At 41.9% G+C, this 19145-nt stretch overlaps 1 protein-coding gene across 14 annotated transcripts in view; it reads right to left on the bottom strand.

Annotated features, from left to right (window-relative positions):
• CACNB2 (calcium voltage-gated channel auxiliary subunit beta 2) overlaps positions 1 to 19145 on the bottom strand; it is a 403134-nt gene that overhangs the window by 93135 nt on the left and 290854 nt on the right. The window lies entirely within an intron of this gene.

The following is a 19145-nucleotide window of genomic DNA, read 5'->3' as shown; positions in this document are numbered from 1 at the left end:
CCCTTCTTATTCTTCAATAATTACTAAAAGCACTGGCTTTTAGGTGATCAGGTACAATGCATACAAGATATTTAGCAAGGAAAAGAGGAAACTACTTTTGCTAAAGGATGCTTTTAGCCCTACTTAATGCATGCCTGTAGGCATACAACGGTAGTGTTTTCCTCAACTCAAACCCTGTGATTTAGTAAACATGCACTTTCAGTTTTTAAAAGGCAGACATAAAGAGAAATACAACACACAGGCATTTTACCTACCGTTTATTCTTTAAGCTGGTTGGAACTGCACATTAACCGGATAGTTTTGGGCTTTACAGACTTCTCATTTTGAGAATGATACAGACCCAAGGGATATACAGAGGAAACAGCAGAACTTTTCCACTGAAGAGATTTGTTGCCATTGAGCCTGATGAAGTGCTTTCTTTCTGCCTCATGCCGCCAGCCCCGGGTCTTCCACGCTGGTGAGAATGGGCTCCAGCCCTTCATGGGCCCTGAGCCAGCCTGCATCATCCTACCTCTTGTTCTCAACACTGGTCCTGGTGTGTGACCTTTCTGAGGCCCCTTCTCTGCTGTAACTGGCCTGCATCCTCAATCATACAGTGCCACTCTGGGAACAACCCTATGGCATGCAGTGCAGCCCCTGGGATATGCTCCGGGTTCCTTTAACATGGTTAAGGGAAGTGGGAAGTCCCACGTGCCAACAGTCAGAGAGAGATTCTGTCAAGTTCCCATAGACTGCTCGGACTCCGTTCCTGGCTTCCTCATTCAGTAGTTGTGAACTTAGCAAGTTAGTTTATTTCTTTAACTGTAAAATGGAGATAATAGCAGGAATCCCATAGGGTCCTTGTGAGGACAGAAAAAGGGAGTTTTTGCAGAGCACGATGTAAGTATCTACGGTTCTTAGCAAACCCCCTCTGACTCTGTCTTGGCTTAAAGAGAAATTCAGCTTCATCACAGCAAGTTCCTCCCGACTTGTTGCAGGAGAGGTAGAACTGGAGTTCTCTGTTTTTTGTTGTTGTGTGTTTTATTTTTTATTTTTTATTTTATGGAGTCTCGCTCTGTCGCCCAGGCTGGAGTGCAGTGGCGCGATCTCGGCTCACTGCAAGCTCTGCCTCCCAGGTTCACACCATTCTCCTGCCTCAGCCTCCCGAGTAGCTGGGACTACAGGCGCCCGCCACCACGCCCGGCTAATTTTTTTGTATTTTTAGTAGAGACGGGGTTTCACCGTGTTAGCCAGGACGGTCTTGATCTCCTCACCTCGTGATCCACCCGCCTCAGCCCCCCAAAGTGCTGGGATTACAGGCGTGAGCCACCGCACCTGGGCACGTTCTCGTTTTAGCATAAGGAATTTGGTAGGGGCTCTGCTGCCCCAACACCATTACCAGACCATAGGACATGACCTATCTTCATAAGGTCCATTTGTTCACTTACAGACACCTTCCTAGATGGTTTCAGCACTGGGCTCACAGTATCATCTCTACCTGTCCATCTTCACTGTCACAACTTCACAATCTACAGTGACAACTTTCTAGACTCTAGGACATAATTCTCCAATTCCAGTGACTGTCATCTCTCTTCTAACTGCACTTCAAATTGTTATGTATTTTTATTCACCCTTTCTTCTTTCATTCCTGGTAACTTCCTGACAAAGATGTGCCTTTTCTCTCTCCCAGGGCACACCTTGACCTGCAACCTAGATTCTACATTTTTCCCTTCTCTGGGGTGGAGGTTGTCAAATTGTCATCCCCAGGTCAACTGCATCAGCATCACCTGGGAACTTGTTAGAAAGGCCGGTTCTTAGGCTGTACCCAGTTTCTGATGAACAGAGACTCTGGGGCTGAGGCCAGGAAGCCTGTATTTAAACAAGTCCTGCAGGGAATTCTGTAGTCTAACTTTTTTTTCTTTCCTTTCTTTCTTTTCTTTTCTTTTTTTTTTTTTTTTTTTTTTAAATGAGAGAGAGTTTTGCTCTTGTCGCCTAGGCTAGAGTGCAATGACACAATCTCAGCTCACCGCAACCTCCGCCTCCCAGGTTCAGGTGATTCTCCTGCCTCAGAGCTCCTGAGTAGCTGGATAATATTATAGGCACCCACCATCATGCCCTGCTAATTTTTGTGTTTTTAGTAGAGATGGTGTTTCACCATGTTGGCCAGGCTGGTCTCAGGTGATCTGCCCACCTTGGCCTCCCAAAGTGCTGGGATTACAGGTGTGAGCCACCATGCCCGGCCCAAGCTAACATTTAAGAACTACCATTCCAGGGATTTTAGTAGTAGGTCCAGGTACAGTGGCTCACCCCTATAATCCCAGTACTTTGGGAGGCTGAAGTGGGAGGACTGCTTAAGCCCAAGAGTTTGAGGCTACAGTGAGCTGTGACTGTACCACTACGCTCCAGCCTGGGCAACAGAGCAAGACCCTATCTCTATTAAAAAACAAAAAGAAAGTGTCTTTCCCTCTCCATTATCCCTTCTTTTCTGCTTCTTTTCTTCTACTTAATCCTGTTCATTTTGCCCATGCCCTTAAAAGAAAACAAAAATAGCTCTCGGGTTTGGAGGCAAAGAATTTCCCTGTGTTGAGCAAAATGTAAAGATTTTTTTAAAAAGAAATCTGAATCTTGTTCTTCCTCTAAACTTTCATTAAATCTTTATTTTATATCATTAACAATGCTCTAACCAGGGATGTGATGTACTTTCTGTTCATGCCTTTTTTTTTTTCAAAGTCACTCCAAGATTTCTTAAATTGGGCTTCCACACCTACCATGTTCTAATAAAACAATTCTTTCCAAAGCCAGTGATCATGTCTTATTTTCCAAACTTTAAAGCTCCCCCACTCCTCTCTCTGCAGCATTTGACGTTGCTGAACACTCCCTGACTCTGCAAAGTCCTATTCTAGTTTGCTGAAAATGCAAGATCCGAATTCTCCTTCTCCCTGACCACTGTTTCTTAGCCTTTGCCAGTTCTTCTGTCTCTTACAGATCTTTCCCAACATTCTGTCATTCGCTCCACTCAAATTCTCCTTTCCCTACTATTTCACCTTTATGAATTCAATGATCACCCCTAGGTGATAACCCCAGATTAATCTTGCTATCCAAATCTCTCATCTTAGCTCTACTTCCACAAAACATGCAACTTTCTCCATGCTTCCAAATACACGGTCTATGGTGCCTCAAATTTAACACATTTTAACAACAAGATAAGGTGATGTCAACTTATCTTTAGTGGAAACCATATTCTAATGTCAACTTCCCAGTTTTTATAAATCACACCATCATCCTCCAAATGTAGTACACCATGTCTCAAAATAGTGTTCCAGAAAATCCTAGATCCTTTCCACATTTACCTATCAACTTTTTATTTATTTATTTTTTTTTTTTGAGACAGAGCCTTGCTCTGTCACCCAGGGTGGAGTACAACGGCATAATCACAGCCTCACTGCAGCCTCAACCTTCTGTGCTCATCCAATCCTCCTACCTCAGCTTCCCAAGTAGCTAGGACCACAGGTGCACACCATCACACCTAATTTTTTATTTTTTTAGAGACAGGGTCTCACTGTATTGCCCAAAATGGTCTCAAACTTCTGGGCTCCAGCGATCCTCCTGCCTCGGCCTTCCAAACTGCTAGGATTACAGGCATGAGCCACTGTGCCTAGCTTATTTTTAAAAAAGAGTTTCTGTGGACAAATAAGTATGGGAAATTAGACAACACCATCTTCTTCTTGGAGTGTCACAGCGCATGTTAGCATATTATAGGCTCTGAGAAGTCTTACAGAGAAAATCAGTGCATGCAATTACAAGTTGACTTGAGCAAAGTCTCAGTAACATCTGTGATACTAAGTAGTGTCACTGGAAACATCTACCAATACACATTAGAAAGCACTCCCTTTATCACCCATCTCCTCTCTTGTCTCCAGTTATTTGTCCAGCCTCATTGATTCTTTTCCTTGCAGAGATCTTGTTTCTAGTCTTATAGTCACCTTAACATGTCAGGCCCCTGCTACTTACTGCCCAAGTATTGCAACAGATGACCTCACTTTCACACTCTTGAACATTTACTCCAGCCTAATTTAGTTTCAAGCCAGATTAGTTTGCTTAAAATTCTGCTCTGATGATTTCATTTCCTGGTTCAAAACCTTCACTCAATGAAAGAAAATAGTCAATCACACAGAAAATACCATTTCAGGTCCTTTCTCATGCAGACTGCCATCCCTTTCCTTCCCTCCATTCTTCTGTGCTTCATGCTTCATCCAAAAGGACCCCTGGTCCTTAAATTTCCTCTCATCTGAGCTCTGGCTGTGGCTGTTTCTTTATTTCATCATGGAAAGTCTTCCTCAGGCATCACAACTTCTCCAAGTCTTATTTATTCTCCAAGGCTCAGCTACAATCCCACCACTTCTTTTTATGAGATGGAGCTTCACTCTGGTCACCCAGGCTGGAGTGTAATGGTGTGATCTTGGCTCACTGAAACCTCCTCCTCCTGGGTTCAAGCGATTCTCCTGCCTCAGCCTCCTGAGTAGCTGGAATTACAGGCATGTGCCACCACGCCCAGCTAATTTTTGTATTTTTGGTAGAGACAGGGTTTCACCATGTTGACCAGGCTGGTCTCAAACTTCTGACGTCATGTGATCTGCCTGCCTTGGTCTCCCAAAGTGCTGGGATTACAGGCGTGAGCCATCACACCTGGCCCAATCCCACCACTTCTACAGGGCTTCCTGGTGCCCCGGTCATAAATTATCCCTTCTCTTTTTGACATCCCAGAGCACTGTATTCACTGTGCTTGTTACATCTGGCCTTCCGTCTTCAGAATGAAGCATCAGAAGGACACAGACGGTCTCTCTCGTTCATATTTATTTCCCCATGCACATCTTGCTTAGAGAGCTCTAGAAGTAACCTGAATAATGAATAACAATCACATTACGTACCTCGGAAATCTCCTGTACATAGGAAAGGATACTCACTCATGTTTTTCAATTCAGAGCCAATGACACTGGAAACTCTGTTGCCAAAATATGGCCAGTACGTGTGTAATGGAAAAGAAAATTCTCCACATTCTTCTTTAAAGTGCAAGCCTCTTTTAATACTAAGTACTGCAATTTTTGTTAAATTGATGCTCTGTTGGTAGTTATAAACACCGTAGTTCAAGATAAACTATCGGACATAGTAATTTGTACCAGTTCTCAGGGTGCCAGCTGCTAGACAATTTCCCCTCTCGTTCCTGAGAGGAATCAGATGTGTTCAAATTCCCCCAAACAACTTTAATAATGAACTGAAAAAATAACAGAATAATGTTAGCATGTCAGGTATTACCCAAAAAACCATGGGCAGAAGCAAAACACCTATCTCACTGTATTAGATACTTGTGGTAGGGAAAAACTGGGGCAAATTCAATGTGTGTAATAAATGAGCAACAAACACTTGGTGAAAACAAAATTAAAAGCTTGGAATTACCAGTTCAACAAAATGGTTTTTAATCTTTCCAGAAAACAAATGGTAAAACCATAGAAACTTAGTACAACTGCAAAAGTCCAAAAAAGTCTTTTTTGCTTCTCATGATATCATTGATTACTTTGTTCCCTCAATTTACAATTCTAAATGCCATCATCTTTCACTAATACTCAAACCAGTGTGTTACTTTACCCTCTCTATGAAATGGAAGGGGAGAAGGAAGCTAGCTAGCATTGGCTGAATTCTCACAGCAATCTTTGTCAAGCTGTTATTTTACAAATTACTTACAAATTACGGAAATCTAGAGTAGCATAGCAGAGCGGATTAAGTGAACTCACTCGGGTACTAAACACCTCTAGTACTAAATACGTAGGTTGCAGTCCTGCTTACTTTTTTCCTAGCTGTGGGACGTTGCACAAGTGACTTCACAGTCTCCCCACTGCTCCCGCCATAAAACTTGGATACTGAGAGTTTCTATTTTTTGCAGTTATTGCAAGCATTAAATGAATTATCATCTGTGAAGGACTTAGAATAATGCTTGGCAATGGTAAGCTCTTTGTATAAATATTTGTTAAATAAACAGAAAATACAATCAATTCAGTAACTTGCTGAAGGACACACAGTGAAATAAGTGATAGAATTGGGATGTTAACCCAGATCGTTCTGGCTCTTTGCACTCGACTGTCCTCAGTGGAAAGAATGACACCTTCTCTCTGCATCCTCTCCTGGTGGAAAGGATGAGGAAGCTCTCTGGGGCTTCTTTTCTAAGGGCACTAATCCCATTCATGAGGGCTCCACCCTCATGAGCTCATCACCTCCCTAAGGCACCCCCTCCTAAAACCATCACCTTTGGCGTTAGGATTTCAACATTTGAATTCTGGGGACACGAACATTTAGACCACAGCAGGGAGAATCCTTAAGAGCAGTGGGAGTGATGAAAAGGGATCCTTTTTCAGGGTCTAGTCTAAGAAAGGGCGTGGCTGGGTGTGGTGGCTCACGCCTGTAATTCCAGCACTTCGGGAGGCCAAGGCGGGCGGATTGCTCGAGGTTAGGCATTCAAGACTAGTCTGGCCAACATGGCGAAACCTCGTCTCTATTAAAAATACAAAAATTAGCTAGGTGTGGCGGCAGGCACCTGTAACCCCAGCTACTTGGGAGGCTGAGGCAGGAGAATCTCTTGAACCTGGGAGGTGGAGGTTTCAGTGAGCTGAGATCATGCCACTGCATTCCAGCCTGGGTGACAGAGTGAGACTCTGTTTAAAAAAAAAAAAAAAAAGGTATGTAGGAATTGAATCATCTGGTTCATTCCCTGCACCTGGATAAGGACAGAAGGCTCTCTTCCAACATTATACTGAGTGGTCCTGGGAGGAAAGGGACAATAAAGGATTCTCAACCTCTGGAGAACAATATTTGCTCAAATTACTTAATGCCTATTAGTTACTCAAATTATTTAAGACAATCTGAGGAGTTGGGTCTACACTTTCCCCTTATGCCTCTCAGGAAACAGAACTCAATAACCCATAGCAGGAGAAGCCCGGCAGAACAGCACAGCTTGCTAGAAAGGAGGCCTGGGCTCCTGCTGGCCCTGCACCCAAGTCCCCTGCTTGTCAGAAGCCTCATTGGTTCCCTAGTCAACCTGAAAACGTGCCTCCGGTACTCCAGGTGAACTGATGAGTGTGCTGTCACTGGAAATGGCCTCTTCCTTCAGTTAGGACACTAGGGTGTTTCTCACTGGCCCTCGTTTGCACAGACCCACTGATTCACTGTCTGTGTAGCACCCGTCAGCATTCAGGCACTGAATTGGGGATTAAAACATAAAAAAGCATATCTCACACCCTTAAAAACTTCACGACTCAGTCAAATGCATGCTAAAGTAAAAACAAAAATGTGTAGAAAAAATTAAGATCTGTTCAGCCTTCATACTGCAGAAAATTATGTATAGTTAAGTTCCTTATTTATATATATATATATATATATACATATATATATATACACATATATATATACATATATATATATACACATATATATATACATATATATATATACACATATATATATATATACATATATATATATATATTGTTTTTACATGTAGACCCAACAACATGGATACACTCAAGCTCTTTAATAGTCTCCACTATAATTCTTTCTTTCTTTTTTTTTTTTAAGGTGGAGTCTCGCTCTGTCACCAGGCTGGAGTGCAATGGCGCCATCTCGGCTCACTGCAACCTCCGATGCCCTGGTTCCAGGAATTCTCCTGCCTCAGCCTTCTGAGTAGCTGGGATTACAGGCACGTGCCACCACGCCCAGCTAATTTTTGTATTTTTAGTAGAGACGGGGTTTCATCATGTTGGCCAGGATGGTCTTGATATCTTGACCTCGTGATCTGCCCTCCTTGGCCTCCCAAAGTGCTGGGATTACAGGCGTGAGCCACTGTGCACAGCCTACTTATTTCTTAGAGAAGCATTATCTTATTTTATGACAACAACAAAAAAAAGGTAATACGATTACTCTGCCTGAGCTAAAGAAGAACCAGATTCGGCCAGGCGTGGTGGCTCACGCCTATAATTCCAGCGCTTTGGGAGGCCGAGGTGGGTGGATCACCTGAGGTCAGGGGTTTAAGACCAGCCTGGCCCACATGGTGAAACCCATCTCTACTAAAAATACAAAAAATTGGCTGGGCGTGGTTGCAGGCACCTGTAATCCCAGGTACCCATGAGGCTGACTCACAAGGATCACTGGTACCCAGGAGGCGGAGGTTGCAGTGAGTAGAGATCGCGCCATTGTCCTCCAGCCTAGGCAACAAGAGTGAAACTCCGTCTCAATAAAAAAAAGAATAGCCAGATTCAAACCAGGTGTGTCCACTACAAGGAACAGATCCTTTCCACCTCCCTCATCCTGTCTTGGTATGTCCACCTCATTCAGGGGACTAGATTTTCAATCAAGGAAAGTTCTAGAAGGAATTATGAGGCGAGGAGCTTGCAAGTACTTAGAAAATAAAAGCAGATACATTAATTACCTTAACTGTATATGTATACAACACACATGTATATCAAAACATCACACTGAGGCTGGATGCGGTGACTAACGCCTGTAATCCCAACATTTTGGGAGGCCAAAGCAGGTGAACCACTTGAGTCCAGGAGTTCGAGACTGGCCTGGCCAAGTCTCTATTAAAAATATAAAAATTATTTGGGTGTGGTGGCGCATGCCTATAGTCCCAGCTACTTGGGAGGCTGAGGTGGGAGGATGGCTTGAACCCAGGAGATCAAGGCTGCAGGGCGCTGTGACTGTGCCATTGCATTCCAGCCTGGGCGACAGTGAGACCCTGTCTTTAAAAAAAATTTAAAAAGCAACAACAAAAATCCCAGAAAACCACACACACTATGTATCATAAGTATATACAATTTTTATTTGTCAATTATACCTCAGTAAAGCCAGCAAAAAAAAGAAAAAAGGAAATTTTGTAGTAACAAAAAGAAAAAGATGAAAAGCAGAATTGCTAGGAGCCAGCAAAAGTTGATGAAAAACAAACCCCATCAAGGAAGCCGTATAGTTCAGTTTTTGGATGGTTATTTATTTTTTTGAGATGGAATCTTGCTCTGTCGGCAGACTAGAGTGCAGTGACGCGATATCAGCTCACTGTAACCTCTGACTCCCTGGTTCAAGCAATTCTCCTGCCTCAGCCTCCTGAGTAGCTGGGATTACAGGCATGCGCCACCACACCCAGCTAATTTTTTCTATTTTTAGTAGAGACGGGGTTTCACCATGTTGGCCAGGATGGTCTCGACCTCCTGACCTGGGTGATCTACCCTCCTTGGCCTCCCAAAGTGCTGGGATTACAGGCGTGAGCCACCACACCCAGCCGGATGGTTATTAAACTGGAGTAAGGACTGAGGTCAACAACACCCCTCAACTACTGGCCACCTGACCCATTTCCCGCTTCCACACTGGTTCCCAATCCCATGGCTTTTTCCCCACAAAGCAATCAGTGTTTTTCTTTTATGAGGGCTTTTAAGATTTGAAGTTTATATCAAATCATGCCACTCTTGCTCAGCACCTTCCATCAGATGTTCTAACATTCACAACATAGTCCAAAGGCTTCCCCATGGCCTGCATCTCTGGCCTGCAAGTCCCTGTGTGACCTTTGACCTGCCTCTCTTTCCCCTTTCTCTGTATTCAGACACACTGGGATCTGGGCTGTTCCTAGAATGTGCTTCAGAGCTTTGCCTTTATGGTTTCCACTGCCTGAAATAATCTATCCTCAAATATCCACATGGACACATTCTCACTCCATTCACAATTTTGATCAAATGTCACCTTCACAGAAGCTTTTCTCTGGGGGGTGGGGGATAGGGCCTTGCTCTGTCACCCAGGCTGGAGTGCAGTGGCATGATCACAACTCACTGCAACCTCTAAGTGATCCTCCCGAGTAGCTGGCACCACAGATGTGGACCACCATGCCAGTTAATTTTTGATTTTTTGCCATGAGGGGTCACACTATGTTGCCCAATCTGGTCTCCAACTCCTGAGCTCTGGCAATCCTCCCGCCTCAGACACTTCAAATGCTGGGATTACTGGTGTGAGCCACTGCGCTTGGCCCACAGAAGCCATTTTTATCACTCCCCAACTCCTCATCCTCTTTACCTTCTTAGTTTTTACTATGGACTGAACATGTTCCCCCAAAATTCATATGTTGAAACTTAATCTCCAAGGCTATAGTTATCAGCAGGTGGGGCTTTAACAAGGTAGTTAGGTCATGAGTGTGGGGCCCCCATGAATAAGATTATGCCTTTATAAAAGGGATTGAAGGAGCCTGTCCATCCTTTTTTGCCCTTCCACTCCCTCTCCCACATGAAGACACAGCAACAAGAGGCCACATGTGAAGCAGAGATCAAACCTTCCCCAGACACTGAATCTACCGGTGCCTTGATCTTAGACTTCTCTGCCTCCAGAACTGTGATCAATAAATTCCTATTGTTTATAAATCACTCAGGTGAAAATATTATAGCAGCAGAACAGAGACTATTTTTTAGCACTTACTGCTACAACACATTATCTACATATATATTTGCATGTGGCCTATTTCTCCGAGCTAGACTGTAATCCTACTGACGGCAGGGGCTTTGTTTTGTTTACTCTGTTCCTGGTGGCTGGGAGATCACTGGCATGCAGTAGGCAGAAGGGAGGGAGGGAGGAAGGATGAGCGAATCTGGATTTCAGCCGAGTATCAGATGAGCTTTCTTATTCTTGCAGAGAAGCTATTAGAAGCTGAATGACAAATAATTAAGCTGATTTATAACTGCATAAACAACCAAACTTTAAACATCCCAATTTACAGTGTGATAATATGAAGGGTTACTTAGAGCATGATTTCAAAGGTGATAGCGGGAGGTGGGGAAATTAATGTCTCCAGAGGAAAGCAATTCAGAATACTTGGAGAAGGTTTCAAATTGTACCTTGAAGGGGATCAGAAGAGGTCATCCCCAAAATATGCGACCTTGCCATAAGGATTATATTGAACTGAAGGTGGCTGAGAATCTACAAATGCAGGAGAAATTCTCTGCCTTCCCCTCATCTACCTAAAACCAGGACTCAAATTTTCCCTTGTAAAATTCCCCTCTGCTGTACCAGGAACAGAAAAGTTGTGTCTTACTGCTGGAGATGGTGAGTTGGCATGGAGATGAGATGCAGAAACACACCTTACTAAAATAACCCTCATCTTCCATTAGCTTCCGCATATTCTTCCTAGTCACCTTCCTGCAATTCAGCATCTCGTGAAATGCAGACACCCTTTTCTTTGTTTAAAATGGTATATAAGCCCCCAATCCTCCCACTTCGACTTTCACTCCTTTTCTGTGAACTCCAGTGCATGTAAAATGTTAATAAAATTGCATGTCTCGTATCCTGTGAGATGTGCCTTTTGTTAGTTTAATTCACTGGCCTTAAATACTACACCGAAGAGGGTAGAGAAGTTATTTTCTCCCCGATGACCTTCAGTTTACCACCAATTCACGTGCTGGCCTACGCCATTCTATTCCGTGCCCTGCCAGATCACAAGTATTTAATCTGATGTGTTCTGCTTTGGAAGAGCTGTATTTATAGCACACTCACATGGGAGGAAATCAGGTAAGAGGGCATAAAAACATGTCACATGAGGACTTTGAGATTTTTAGCCCAGAGAAGAAAAAATCTAAAGAGGAAGAAGGTGATCGTATACTCCATAAGGCCCAGGGAGAACAGAACTGGGATCAAGGAATTGATGTTTTAAAGCAAAGCAAACCTTCGTTCTATATAAATCCGAATGCTCTAACAGAACTGTGAGCAGAGGGCACAGGCTTCCAGCCAAGAGGAGAAGAAACGGCCTTTTTGGGAAGATGTGGTGTGGGAGAACAGATGGATAACTGGCTTGAATCACTATTGGCGGCACGCAGGGTAAACACGAGCAGAGCACAGGTGGTGAGGGACCGCGAGGCTGCAGCTACCGCCCATTGGCTGTTGGGCCTTGACTGCCAATCAACAATTTTGGGCATAAGTTCTCTCCATCACAGCAAGATGGATTAAATCGGTGATTGGCCAACCCAGTTCCTGAGAGTCCAGGGTTCAGAGCAAATGGCATAGGAATGCTTTAGCAGTGGTTGGAAATAAAAATCCAACTGGGGGCAGGGCGCGGTGGCTCACGCCTGTAATCCCAGCCCTTTGGGAGGCCGAGGCGGGCGGACCACGAGGTCAGGAGATGGAGACCATCCTGGCTAGTGCGGTGAAACCCCGTCTCTACTAAAAATACAAAAAAAAAAAAAAAAAAATCGCCAGGTGTGCTGGCGGGCGGCTGTAGTCCCAGCTACTCAGGAGGCTGAGGCAGGAGAATGGCATGAACCCGGGAGGCGGAGCTTGCAGTAAACCGAGATAGCGCCACTGCATTCCAGCCTGGGTGACAGAGCGAGACTTCATCTCAAAAAAAAAAAAAAAAAAAAAAAAAAAAAAAAATCCAACTGGGCCAGGTATCCCGACACCCCCAGACTCAGGGCCATTCCCCTGAGTTTTAATACATTTCTAATTATAATAAGTTTCCAATCATTTTAGATACATTTCCATGTTCTATGTCAATTTGCCTCGATTACAAAAACTCTTTAAAAGATCTAGCCATAAATAATTTTCTATGACTTCGAAGTTTTGAGGCAACTGCTATATATGCCCAAATAGAAGGAGATTCCAAATATAAGGTGATGTCACATTTAACAAAGAATAAATACCTTGTGGCTGACTCTCAGTGCTGTCAAAGATAGTCAGATACTGTGGCAGAGATCCAAGATGCTTACTAACTCCATTTTCTTCCTCAGAATACAGACAACTAAATTTCTAGCCTTCCTTGCAGTTAGATTGGCCCACGTGATTGAATTTTGGCCAGTGAAATGCGTGGAGAATGATGCCTGCCATTTTCCAGCCTGGCAACAAAAGGACCTTTGTGATCTTCTCATGTTTTCTCTCTTCTGTGGAGACGGTATGCAGTATATAACACACAAAATATGTGTTAACCAACCTTTTATGATATTGGTAAAGCTTTGGGTCAACGATACGCTATTTGGTTTTTTTAGGAGTCAAAAGTTACACATGGATTTTGGCTTTGTAGGGGGTCCATGCCCATAACCTCTCATTGTTCAATGGCCAACTGCACTAACTTAGAAGTATCCCTCTCTCCACATCCTTATCCATATTTAATTTTTAAAAAATCCTCTGAAAACTTCTCATCTGTCTTGTGGATATCAGGAGAGATACTGGGTCACCTAACCCCTTTCTAATGGGAACTTCCTTTCAACTAATTGGAAACAGTATTTGTTTTGAATGTTTGAGTTTACCATAGCATCCAATATTTACAAGTGTGACGTCATGTCTCTAGAAGTAAATGTTAAATCTCTATTTAAACATTTAAGTCAAATGTATCAGGTGACTTATATAAACACACCAAAATAAGATTGATTGACATCATGCAGGCCCATGTATCTCCAGCAAGCAGCACATTGTTGTTCAAAATAAAGTAATGGAAAATGTACTTCTTGCACCATGGGAGATCTTGTGAGATTTCAAATATAAGGTGACTCTCTCTTTTCTGAAGAATAATTCTGAGGGGAAAAAAGCCTCATCTTATATTCAGGCATATGTGGCAATCTTTGGCAAATTTTTATTTCTGGACATTTATTTTTGCATATTCTCTAAGTGCATATGGAAAAAATAAACATGATTTATTTTTGTTCAGTTGTACAAGCTCATTTGGCTTTGGCATCTACATGGAATGGGAACCCAGTAACATTTTGTAGGTATAAAAACCTCTGATTATTTTTTCAGGTGCTTTTGAGTTAAAAAACAAACAAACAAACAAATATGCTTTGCAAGCAACAGTACTTCTGACTATAAAGCCACATGTAAGTCAAATAAAAGTAATCCACGCATACCTTCTCAAGGGCCAATTTTTACCTACAAGTCCTATTCTAATTTTGATCTATTGATGGAGGACAGGGAAGAGAAATGTGGCAATGATTAATAGAAAAGAAGTAGCATTGTTCTGATTGGTTGATTAGATTTTTGTTTTTGCTATCATTCTCTGCTTTGTTCTCCATGAACAGACTATCCGAGAAGGCTCAAGTTTATACTTTCTTGCCAAAATTTCTGGGTTAGCAAAGTATACTTGAAATGGCTTCTAGGATTTTGTTCAAAGTTGAAATGAAACAGAAGTTTCTAAACTTCTCCACCAAAGAGGGGAAAAACTCTTACTGGCAAACTCATCATTAATGACCATAAATTTTAAATCAATTAATTCACTATTTGTGAGTTACTGCACATAGCTTTAGATTTTCAAGGTAATAGCCAACAACTTTTATCTTTTAAAACATTCCTCATAGAAGGTGGAATAATAATTTTCATTCTGAAGTTCTCCTTTTGTTAAACTTATCAATTCTCTAAAAATGATCTAAGCATTTTAGAGTACTTAAAGTCATCGTACTTTCAAAAGCTCATTTATGCAAAACCGCTGTGTTCTGGGCTCACAGATGCTCTGGGCCCTCCAAAGAGGATCAGAATTGGTTGAGCTCTGTGTAGATCTCAATAATTTTGATGAGTGATTTTACATATAGGTGCACACATAAAACAAAGTTTCAGGATAAACAAACCTATTAAAAATTTTGGGTTGGTTGGGGGGCAGGTGGAGTGGCTCATGCTTGTATTCCCAGCACTTTGGGAGGCCAAGGCGGATGGATCCCTTGAGCCTGGGAGTTTGAGACCAGCCTGGGCAACATGGCGAAACCCCATCCCTACAAAAAAATACAAAAATTATCTGGATATGGTAGTGTGTGCCTGTAGTCTCAGCTACTTGGGAGGCTGAGGAGGGAGGATCGCTTGAGCCTGGGAGGTCGAGGCTGCAGTGAGCTATGTTCACCCCACTGCACTTCAGCCTGGGTGACAGAATGAGACCCTATATCAAAAAAGGTATGCAGGGGAAAGCAGTCAAAGATTGATTTGGTAGTTATTTCATGGTCTTATTACTGTCAAAGACTGAGGGAAAGAAGTGATCATTGGAAAGGAGTAGGGAGTTTCAGGAAAAGTGAAGACCCTACTCTCAGAAATTTTTCTGTTCATGTAGATGCCACCTATTGTCAACTCAGGTGGATTTTCACGGTTTTTAACGAAATATGTTGGATTGCCTATTGTCAGCTCGGCACTATGCCTCCGCCTGCCTTATACTTTCCCATCTAACAAAGAGCATGAATTCCTACGGATGATATTTTCAGATTCTCTGCCAACAGGGTTCCAGGTTGGACTCCTTGCAATGAGAGCCACTTGTGTGACACGCAGAAGGCAGAGGAGAAGCCAGATTATCCTTGTGTGACATGCAGAAGGCAGAGGAGAAGCCACCATCAGCAGAAGGCATCTACGTGGGCTCCAGCAGACCAGAGACTTTCCAGTTCCATTAGGCCAGCAGTTCTCAAAGTGTGGCTCAGGAACCCCTAGAAGCTCTAGAGACCCTTTTAGGGATTCCACAAGGTCAAAACTATTTTCTTAATGGCACTAAGACATCATTTGCCTTCTAATATTCTCGTTCTCTCATGATGGTAGATTGGAATTTTTCAAATACTTACACGACCTGTGATGACTTTATCACTCTGATAGCTAGGGGAGTGCCTGCTTCCTTATTCTTGTAATTTATTTTTTTCTGTTTTAATTTCTAATGCAAAAAACACCATTAGGCATAAGCTATACAAGCAAAAGCTCACTGAGGTGTTCAATAATTTTTTTAGGGCCAGGCACAATGACTCATGCCTATAACCTCAGCACTTTGGGAGGCCAAGGTGGGTGGATTGTTTGAGCCCAGAAGTTCGAGACCAGCCTAGGCAACCTAGCAAGACCCTGTCTCTATAAAAAATATAATAATCATCATCATATTAATTTTTAAGAATGTAAAGTGGTCACGAGACTAAAACATTTGGGAAATGCTATTCCAGGTTGTGTCCTGAAAATCACCCAACCAATGCCTTAGGTAGCTGCAATTATCAGCAATGATTTTTAGTAATTCTGGAAACTTCCTGATTCCCCAAATTCTACTGGCTACACTGAGAACTGGCAGGTTTCTCTGACTTTATTCCTTCAGTCCTTTCAGATTTTGTACATTCCTAATTCCCTATGTTAAATCACTTTATCCCTGAAATATTTGAAGTGCTTTCTGTCTTCCTGACTAAATCATGAATAGAGGTCATGATTTATATATGAACTCTATAATATAAATTTGTTTTTAATAGATCTTTAAAATCATACCATATGAGAAACCTCTTCCCCACTCCTATAACGAATTAGAAGATCATATCTTCAAACCATTTTCTTTCAGTTCATGGCCAAAATTCCCAATGTTCTATGTTTTAAAATGGTTTTTCTGTATAAAACATGCCATATGCTTTTCAGAGAAAGCTCAAAATTAACTGGTAAAGCTTTATATACAACTCTACCGAAGCTCTTGCTGGAATGGATAGGAATACTGTAGCACAGTATGTTCTAACACAATTGTGTTCCAAGAAGTTCCAAGCTATTAAAACAACAACAACAACAACAACAACAACAACAACAACAACAAAATCTGATTTAAGACAATAGTTTTGATGGTAGAAAAAAGGATTAGGGGATAGACAGTTTCAAACTTGCCATAACACGTTTACTGTTCCCTATAAGTATTTACATAATTCTTATTTTTGTAATGTAGCTACAAGTTACAGATTGGACTCCTTGTTCCACTCTTTCCTCCTTCTCAACACTGTACTTGACTAGCTTAAGAAAAAAATATAGTTATAAACCTTAAATATCACTCACAGACCCATCATTTCATTACATCTAGTATTTGCATGAGAAAGGGCTTTTCTTTACCAAGACCAGCTATTACCAGCACAGATTATTACACCTCCTTAACACTCTATAATAAACCAAGGCAACTCATACAAAGCTTCTGAGTTGCAGAAACATCAGCTATTTTTCCTAAGTGCTTGGTCTTGGATAACAACAGCAATACAATCAACAGAGTTCTGTGCAGGGCAAAACTGGATGCTTAATCCATCACCTGGTCTCCACTAAAATTGAATTATGAGAAATGCTGTAAAGTAGCCTGGCTTTATAAAAGAGAAACTGGTTTTTTTGTGGTCGCTGATCCAGTTATATTAAACTGCTTGCCATTTCTAAAACCAATCTTGCTCTCTCTCCTGCTCTTGGGAATATGCCGGTCCCCTTGCATGAAATACTCTATCTTGATCATCTTGCTATATCTATCTGCATGTGGCATTGGCATACTGCCTTGTACTTAATAGGATTTCAAATATATATATATATATATATCAATACACGCATATACATATATTTATTTTAATGAATAAATAGTGTTATCTAAACAGTTACTTTCTAACAAGGTAAAAAAAAATGTAAACACAGAAACAGGAAGCCCAAAGGGAAGCGATATTTGGGCAGTCATAAAAGATAGCTGACACCAGTCATCTCTATCTCTCTTTTATCTCAAAGGTGTTAAAATATTTTCTTTGGCTATATTTCCTATTGCTTTGAAATACAACATCAATGAATTTCTTTTTACTACAGTTTTTTGTTTGTTTGTTTGTTTGTTTGTTTGTTTTTTTAGACAGGGCTGACTCTGTCACCCTGGTAGAGTACAATGGCACAGTCTTGGCTCATTGCAACCTCTGCCTCCTGGCTCAAGCCATCCTCCCGCCTTAGCCTCCCAAGTAGCTGGGACTACAGGTACACTCCACCATGCTGGGCTAGTTTTTGTATTTTTTTTGTAGAGACAAGGTTTTACCATGTTGCCCAGGCTGGTCTGGAACTCCTGAGCTCAAGCAATCTGCTTGCCTCTGGCCTCCCAAAGTGCTGGGAATACAGGTGTAAGTCACTGCACCCAGCCTGGAATGTTTTTGAAAATGTATTTTTATATTTTTGTTTTTAACAGTAGTATTGAGGTATAGGGACAGGGACACACACACACACACACACACACACACACAGAGACACACACATCCATCCCTCCACAGAGTGCAATTTGTGTTAAGTTTTAACTTATGTGATTATCTGTGAAACCATTACCACAACCAAGATTATGAGCAGATCAGGACATCAGAAGGGGCAGGAGGGAAGGATTATCAAAGACTGTGAAGAAGCTTTTGGGTGACAGATTTGTTGTCACATTTAACATTTTAAATCTTACTTCAAATAGAATATATGTGGTATTTGTTTAAACTGAGGCTAGCTACAAGTCAAGGGAAAAATCTTAGTGAATAGCTTGACATTTTGGATAATTAAAACAGAGCTTTTCCTCCCCTCTAAGACTTGGAAGCACCATCTCTATTTCTAAAATTAATTGATATTTCTTTACAAACATAAATAATAGTCTTGGGCCGGGTGCGGTGGCTCATGCCTGTAATCCCAGCTCTTTGGGAGACTAAGGCAGGCGGATCACGAGGTCAGGAGTTCGAGACCAGCCTGGCCAATATGGTGAAACCCTATTTGCACTAAAAATACAAAAATTATCTGGGTATAGCGGCACACGCCTGCAGTTCCAGCTACTCAGGAGGCTGAGTCAGAAAAATTGCTTGAACCCAGGAGGCAGAGGTTGTAGTAAGCTGAGATCACGCCACTGCACTCCAGCCTAGGCAACAGAGCGAGACTCCATCTCAAAAAAAAAAGAAAAAGAAATGAGATTCAATGAGGTCAACAAAGATATCTTTGGGGCTTATCCATGCTTATCCATTTTGTTTCTTGGCTTTTTTATCAAATGAGTGGACTGTAATTTCATCTCCGTTAACTTCCTCATTTTGGCTTTTTTAAGGAGGAAAATATTGTAATTTATATGTAAAGCTCTTAAAGGGAAAAAGCCTGATCAGCTCTTGATGTTTCATATCATAGACTTTCAGAGGTAAAGCCTGTGTTTATGTTGACATTTTCACTAACTTTGCTGAAGTTCATTCTAGGTATAAATCGAGTATGTTTTCTCTCACAAGCAGTAACCACAGGAAAAGGCAATAGATTTTTACATATTTATAAAAGAAGTTGGGACCTACTTGAGGCATCAGTAGAAAAGCAGATTCATTCTGGACCCACAAGCAAATGTGAATGGATGAAGAAGTTAAATGAGCCAACACTGTGTGGTTGTTTTAAGTATTATAAAATCTCAGACAGGC

Source organism: Homo sapiens, chromosome 10 (assembly GCF_000001405.40).
Source record: "Homo sapiens chromosome 10, GRCh38.p14 Primary Assembly".
Classification (NCBI taxonomy): domain Eukaryota; kingdom Metazoa; phylum Chordata; class Mammalia; order Primates; family Hominidae; genus Homo; species Homo sapiens.
This window is presented reverse-complemented; position numbering and strand designations above follow the sequence as displayed.